The 7,389-nt window shown below is 36.6% G+C and overlaps 1 long non-coding RNA gene across 1 annotated transcript; it reads right to left on the bottom strand.

The window, feature by feature from the left end:
* Positions 1-2,042: 2,042 nt before the first annotated feature.
* LINC02670 (long intergenic non-protein coding RNA 2670) lies at positions 2,043-6,823 on the bottom strand. Its single transcript, NR_120636.1, has 4 exons — positions 6,747-6,823; positions 6,076-6,254; positions 3,782-3,893; positions 2,043-2,249 (listed from the first exon to the last, which is right to left on the bottom strand). It is a non-coding gene; the product is annotated as a long intergenic non-protein coding RNA 2670 (long non-coding RNA).
* Between the last annotated feature and the right edge of the window lie 566 nt (positions 6,824-7,389).

The following is a 7,389-nucleotide window of genomic DNA, read 5'->3' as shown; positions in this document are numbered from 1 at the left end:
GGTGGGGCTCGGTGAGAGGTTATTTGATCCCAGGGGCAGTTTCTCGTGAATGATTTAGCACCATCCACTTGGCACTGTCCTCGTGATGCTGAGTGAGTTCTCAGGAGATCTGGGTGTTTAAAAGTGTGTAGCATCTGCTACCCTCTGTGCTCCTGCTCCCACCGTGTGAGACGCCTCACAATCCCTTTGCCTTCCACCGCGATTGGAAGCTCCCTGAGGCCTCCCCAGAAGCAGATGATGTCATGCTTCCTGTACAGCCTATAGAACTGTGGGCCAATTAAACCTCATTTCTTATAAATTACCCAGTCTCAGGTATTTCTTTATAGCAATGTGAGAACAGAATAATACAGTGAGATTATGACAGAATGATTAAAAGTCACTGTGTATTTTCTGTTAGCATAACACTTCCCATTGCCAGAAAATCTTCCAAAATCATAAATCTAGCCATGCTATATTCCTACTAAAAGGCCTCCAGTGATTTCTATTCTTCACCAAACAATTCCCAACTTTTTAGCCAACTGCAAGCGGATTCTGTCCTGTCTAACTTTTTTTCCCATTCATGAGGTAATTTGGTTCATCAGATGTTTGCCTAGGCGTGTGGCCTTTGTAACTTCACTTCAGTCTCCGATTGGTTGTTTATCCAGTCATTCACTCCTTTGAGAAATCTTGAGATTGCTTATTTTTTATGAAATGGATTTAGCACCAATCAGAATTCCTTGATCCTTACACTTAACTTTGATTACAAGGTAATTACTATGCATTGGAATGTTCTTTAATTCATCCCCACCCAGATGTCAAAGCAAGAGGAACTCATATTTCCTTGTGTACTCTGAGAGACCCTGGGGAAAATGGTTTGAGGTGGGAGACTCCTTTAACAATTCCACAATTTTCTAAAACAACTCCTATTTACATATGTTTACAAAGTTGTAAATATTATATATTTATTATAATACACGTTTAGGCTGGGCACAGTGGCTCTCGCCTGTAATTCCAGCACTTTGGGAGGCCAAGGCGGGTGAATCACCTGAAGTTGGGAGTTCAAGACCAGCCTGACCAACATGGAGAAACCCCGTCTCTACTAAAAATACAAACAAAAATTAGCTGGACGTGGTGGTGCATGCCTGTAATCCCAACTACTTGGGAGGCTGAGGCAGGAGAATCACTTGAACCCCGGAGGTGGAGGTTGCAGTGAGCCGAGATCTCACCATTGCACTCCAGCCTGGGCAACAAGAGTGAAACTCCGTCTCAGAAAACAACAACAAAAAATTATAAAACTAAACTATGAGTTCTGGAGATCTAGGGACAGGAGCACAGGAGGAACAGTAAGAAGTTGTCCAGTGGACCACATTCCTTTCAAAGAAATTGAAATCAACTAATCTATGAGAAGCACCTTCTTTGCAGCTCCCTGGGGCCATCAATTGGACTCTTGATGGTTCTTCCACTCAGTGTATCATCAATCCCCTGGAAATCTAACTCAGGTCAGGGTCTTTAGAAAATTGTAAGTAGCAACCCTTGCTCAAAAACCCCAAACTGAGAAATGCTGAAACTCAAAATACTGAAGCAGCCTTCTTCATGGATGGACTGGGACACTCCAAAAAGAAAATTCTCAGTACTCTGCTAGGATGTCCTTCTGCTAGTGGTTGAGTCCATTCAGTATCCCTTAAATTAGGAAAGATATTTCACTACTTTGCAGGGCCTTCACATCATGTTAAGGTGAAGAAAACCTATCACTCTTTGTTCCTGTATGTCAACTAGAATTATCATGAGTGATAGCAACAAGATCCTGCGCTCACATTTCTTCTTATAATTGTGTGTGTGTGTGTGTGTGTGTGTGTGTGTGTGTGTGTGTGTGTGTTGTCATGGAGGGAGGTAACAAAAACCAAAAAAGCCCACTTTCTCACCGTGTCCTCACTCTGCCAGCCCCTAGTTGTATGACTTCACTCTCTGGCCTGTATTTCTAAAATTAATGAGTTACCATGAGCAGTGGTTCTCAAATATGGCTGATGACTAGAGATATTTAAGAATTGAGAGAATCACTGGTCCCTATTAAAATCTAAAAATTTACTTTCTTTTGTTTCTATGATTTCCTTCTTCTACCAGTAATGAAAAATACATTATATAAGACAATATTTATGGATAAGTAGCCATTAACCTTTCACAGTATTTTTTAGGAAAATATAAAATTGATGCTGTAGGAAAACAATCTTCCTTTTGATTTTTTCCATCATCAATGCCAGTTATGTCACTTCCTGAAGTTAGAGAAAACAAGAAGTGAGTTAAGGCAGTTAATCACGTGTCCTCTTTAAGGTAATGAAATCACCCTTACTATTTAAAAATAATCAGCGCATGCTTTAGAGTAAGCTTTCCATAGTTCAGGCAGTAAGAGAGCGAGAGAGGAAGAATCGAGCCTATTTTTCTTGACTCAGTTGGTTTGTCACTGTAAAACTTAGTTGACAAATGCTCACTGGGTACTCCTACACACTCAATAGCACACATATTATTCTTACTCAATAAGTGGAGAGAAAACATACCCTTCCAACTATGATTTTTAAATTGTTATTTTCTTAAAATAACGCTTTTTCAGTCACCTTGGAAATAGGTGCAAATGCAAATCTAAATCCCATATGCAGTAATGATTTGGTTGAAACAAATACTATTCCCTTGAGCTATGTTGGTTTGAGGGGGAAAAAATATGACTCTTCTAGTGGGAAGATTGCAATGGCTCTGCTCCTAAGGGGGAAAAAAGCCATACAGATAAGATGTTCTTATTTATAACATGTAACAAGATATGTTGCTAGACACAAGCATCTTTCTGATGACTTATCCTGCTGATCAGAGTACCAATGAGTTTATTTTCATAATTACAACAGATGGAAAACAATAAAATTATACTTTAGGCTAATGTACTCTCACCCTTATTATCCTTTTTTTTTGGTATGTGTGTCTCCCCTGAAGCTATTTTATAACAATACAAAACTTGCAGAAATATGGCACCGCAAAAGCCTGACCAGATTTTCTAATTATCTGTCATGACTCAAGAGTGCAGTAAGAAATTAGCTCTCCGGGGAGAGAAAAAACTTGATGGAACTTAAAATAATAGAAAGAATCCTATGATGTCTCTCCTCAACAAGTTGAGAAAGAAATCTGTCCATTTTTAGTGGGTTTACTAACTTGCTTTCCTTTTTTTAAAAAAATTGTAGTTTTATGTCAGCTACAAAGAGTTGTGTTAATCAGATCCCTTAACACATGACATGCTGTCATGCAAAGATTTACTCTTGTTTAATTAATTAAATTTTATTTATTTCATCCTCAATTCTATTCCAGTCCTGTCTTCTCATCACAAGCTATTAATTCTGGAATAGAATGAATGAGATGTATGTACTTGGAATACATATGTATAATTATATATCATATATATTTAACACATCTACTTCCTTAATCTCCATATTTCCCACCCTCCCATGTACTTATGTGTGTTCATGTGAACAAATAATTCTGGCCAATGGGGTATAGACAGAAGTGATATACACCTGGACCAAGAAACTTTCCACGTGCTGTTTTTTTTCTCTCTCTCTCTTTCATCATCCTTTGGATGGATAACAACAGATAGTGTTGCTATAGAAACCACCCATTGAAAATGTCAAAACCTTCATCAGCCTGGGTTCCCTGAATGACTGTGTGGATCCATTCTCTCAACACATACCAATGACTATACTCTCACATGAATAAAGGGCTTTTTGTTTATTAACTCACTGAAATGTTAAAGTTTATCTGTACTTACCTCACTGTTTATTTCACTATAAGGAATCATGAGGTTTACATGGTCTACGTTGCTGACTTTGTCAACTAATTTTTGTCTATTGTAATTCAGTTAGAATGCCTGGAAAGCCAGTCTGTAAGAGAGACAACAGAAAGCCAACTGAAGTTTTCTCTTAATCTGGCTCATTGTCACAGTGTTGGAGGCTGGATTTTATGAGAATCTTAGGTGTTCTATTGATCATTCACCCATCAATTGCACAGAGCACTGAGTCTGCGTTAGCAGCTTAAGGCAAACTGCTTTAACCAAAATAAATTGTATTAATATGGCAACATCATTTGCCTTGAATACTTTAACAGTCAGTAGGTAAGAACATTTGAAAAGAACCTATTCAAAAGATCAAGTGACACCTTGTTTCTTGAAAAAAAAAAAAAGCAAAACAAAGACAAGCTCTTCGCCAAACTAAATTACAGAAACATATGTTAGGGAACGTGTCACTACCCTACATCTACTTATTGCGCAGGAGGACCCCAGATATTTAGATGGCTTTGGAATTCTCAGAAATATTGGACATGGTAATACTAGAGTTTTCCATGTGTTGGAGCTGATAGTGTATTTTCTATTTGTTTTTAATGGATTTTAATTTTTAGGATAGTTTAAGAGTTACAGAAATATTGAGGGTAAAGTACAAAGAATTTCCATAGACCCCATCTCCCCCATACCCTCACTTTTCCCTATTATTCCCATCTTGCATTAGTGTGGTATATTTGTTACAACTGAGGAAACTATATCGATATATTATTATTAACTAAAGTCCATGTTGACATTGGGTTTCATTCTTTGTGTAGTAGTACAATTCCGTGGGTTTTGCCAAATGCAAAATATCCTGTATCCACCATTACAGCATCATACAGAACAGTGTCATTGCCCTAAAAATAGCCTGTGCCCCAGGTATTTCCCTCTTCTCCCCCATAACCCTGGCAAACACCAATCTTTTTACTATCTGTACAGCTTTGTCTTTTCCGGAATGTTATATACCTGGAATCATACAGCATTTAGCCTTTCCACATTGGCTTCTTAAACTTAGTAACACACAATTAAGGTTCCTTTGTCTCTTTTTGTGGTTTGATAGATCATTTCTTCTTATCTCTGAATAATATTCCATTGCATGGATGTACCAGAGTTTGTTTATCCATTCACCTATTCACCTATTGAAGGATATCTTGATTGCTTTCAATTTTTGGCAATTATGAATAAACCTGCTATAAACTTTTATGTGTAGGCATTTCTATGGACATAACATTTTCAATTCATTTGGGTAAATACCTAAGAGCACAATTGCTGGGTTGTATAGTAAAACTATGTTTGGCTTTGTAAGCAGCTGTCAGATTGTTTTTGACAGTGGCTTCACTATTTGGCTTTCCCACTAGATGTGAATGACAGTTTCTGTTGCTCAACATCCTCACCCACATTTGATGTTGTCAGTGTTTTGATTTTTTTGCCATTCTAATAAGTGTAGTGGTATCTCATTGTGGTTTTAATTTGCAATCTCTAACGAATGTACAGTGTTGAGCACCTTTTCATATGTGTATTTAACATTTGTCTATCTTCTTTGGTGAGTTGTCTGTTTAGATTTTTTGCCCATGTCTAATTGGGTTGTTCTCCTATTGCTCAGTTATAAGAGCTGGTTGTAGATTTTGGAAACAAAGTCCTTTATCAGATACATGTTATTCAAGTATTGTCTTTCTCTCCCAGCCTGTGGCTTATCTTTTCTTTCTCTTAACAGTGTCTTTCAGAAACAGATGTTTTTAATTTCAATAAAGTCCAACTTCATTTTCTCTTTCATGAAGCATGCTTTTGCTATTGCATCTAAAAAGTCATTTCCAAATCTGAGGTCCCCTAGATAGTCTCCTATGTTATCTTTTGGTACTTATTTTTAATCTAAAAATATTTTATAATCGTTATACCATTGGGGATAGTAGAGTCATAAGTTTATGATTTACATCACTGATTTTATGTAATTTTGATTGGTGCACCACATTTTTGATATGTACAGTATTTCCCTACTCTGAGAAGTAGTGATATATTTGTTGGAAATGGGTACATGCTTTTTTATACTAGATTAAATCTGTCCATTTCTTCTGAGTCCTTCAGGGAATCTCCTGAGAGTAGGGCAGCACACTTTTATTCTTGGGAAGAGAGGAAAGCATACCTGCTATGGAACCATAATGTTGGTCACTTTATACCTCCAAAGTCATGCCCATCGTCATATCTGATTTACTGAAAGCTTCCCGTTATAAGAGGGGAACATACTCTACCTGATTCAATGATTGGCAACTGCAGTGAATGAACTGCTGATGTCTTCCCCAAGGAAGAGCTCAAACATCATCAATTAGCAGAGATGGCGGAAGGAAAGATCCATCTTCTCTACGATACGTCTGAGAGAGGAAGGAGACGAAGCTACACCGTCCTCACCCTTGCTAGTTGTAATGTGCATCTTTGAAGAGAAGGAGGCAGATACTAGCAATGGAAAAACTATCCCTGGGAAGTCTATGTTTATCTTTGAAAATGTGGCTGTATAATAAAGCACAGTAAGCTTAGTTTTTTCAATGTAACACTCTAAAAAGCTACTCATTCATTTTGAAGTTGTTGTCATTGCTCAAGATATTCTTAGAACTATTGTTTGGAATTAGACTTTTTAAGGTGTTTACAAGAGGTACAAGAAAAATAATTCAACTTGTTTTTAAATCATGCCTCCAAATAACAACTATTGAAAGAATAAATTAATAAACTTAATTTTAAAACCTAAAATCAATAAGCTATTGACTTTTTCAGCAGTAAAATAAAATAAAAAATCAAGGTATAATTATATGATAGAATTAATGATTAGAAAATTAAGATACTGCAAAGATCTACAAGAAACTACATGTTTTTTGAACGCTTATTTTCCATTAAATGGAGTAATAATGCAGTTTTCTTCCTTGTTTACCATATCTCATACTGTTTTCCCTTATTTTTTGTTTCCTTTTCCACCCAGACTGACACTTTTTTACCTCACCAGTAACTACAGTATTGGCTAAAGTTCCAGAACCTTATTCCTCCCTTAAATAATTACAAAGAATCTAACATTCTGTGAGGTTACTTACTCCCATTACAACACTAAACTACTCTCCAAATGGAGTCAGTGCTATTAGAACTCATTTCCTTGAAGTCTATTTCGCTTTTACTTTTTCAGCCAACTCACTCTCCCTCCCTAATTTGGATTATAAACTCAGGGGAAGGGACAGTGTCTTACCCTATATCAACTAGGTGTTCAATGAATATTATTATTATTATTATTAAAATTCATAATGATGCCAGGCTTGGCCTAATCAATTTTAATTCAGCTTAATCTCTTTCAATTAAGTTTAATTTAGGAGGTGCTGCCCTGATATTTTTCTTTTACCTAGATTTCTAATTTACTTCTGCAATAGGCTCCTCCTTTCATCTTTTTTTTCTTGCCTCATAAATTTCTTCTACAGGCAAGATGTTTTCTTTATGCCATTGCTAAGGTGCATTTTATCTGACAGATGCTTTTAAAAGAGACTGCTTTCCTTGCCTATTCTAAAGCATTATGCACAGCTTTTTGTATT

The sequence above is a fragment of the Homo sapiens genome, chromosome 10 (genome assembly GCF_000001405.40).
Source record: "Homo sapiens chromosome 10, GRCh38.p14 Primary Assembly".
In the NCBI taxonomy this organism is placed as follows: Eukaryota; Metazoa; Chordata; class Mammalia; order Primates; family Hominidae; genus Homo; species Homo sapiens.
This window is presented reverse-complemented; position numbering and strand designations above follow the sequence as displayed.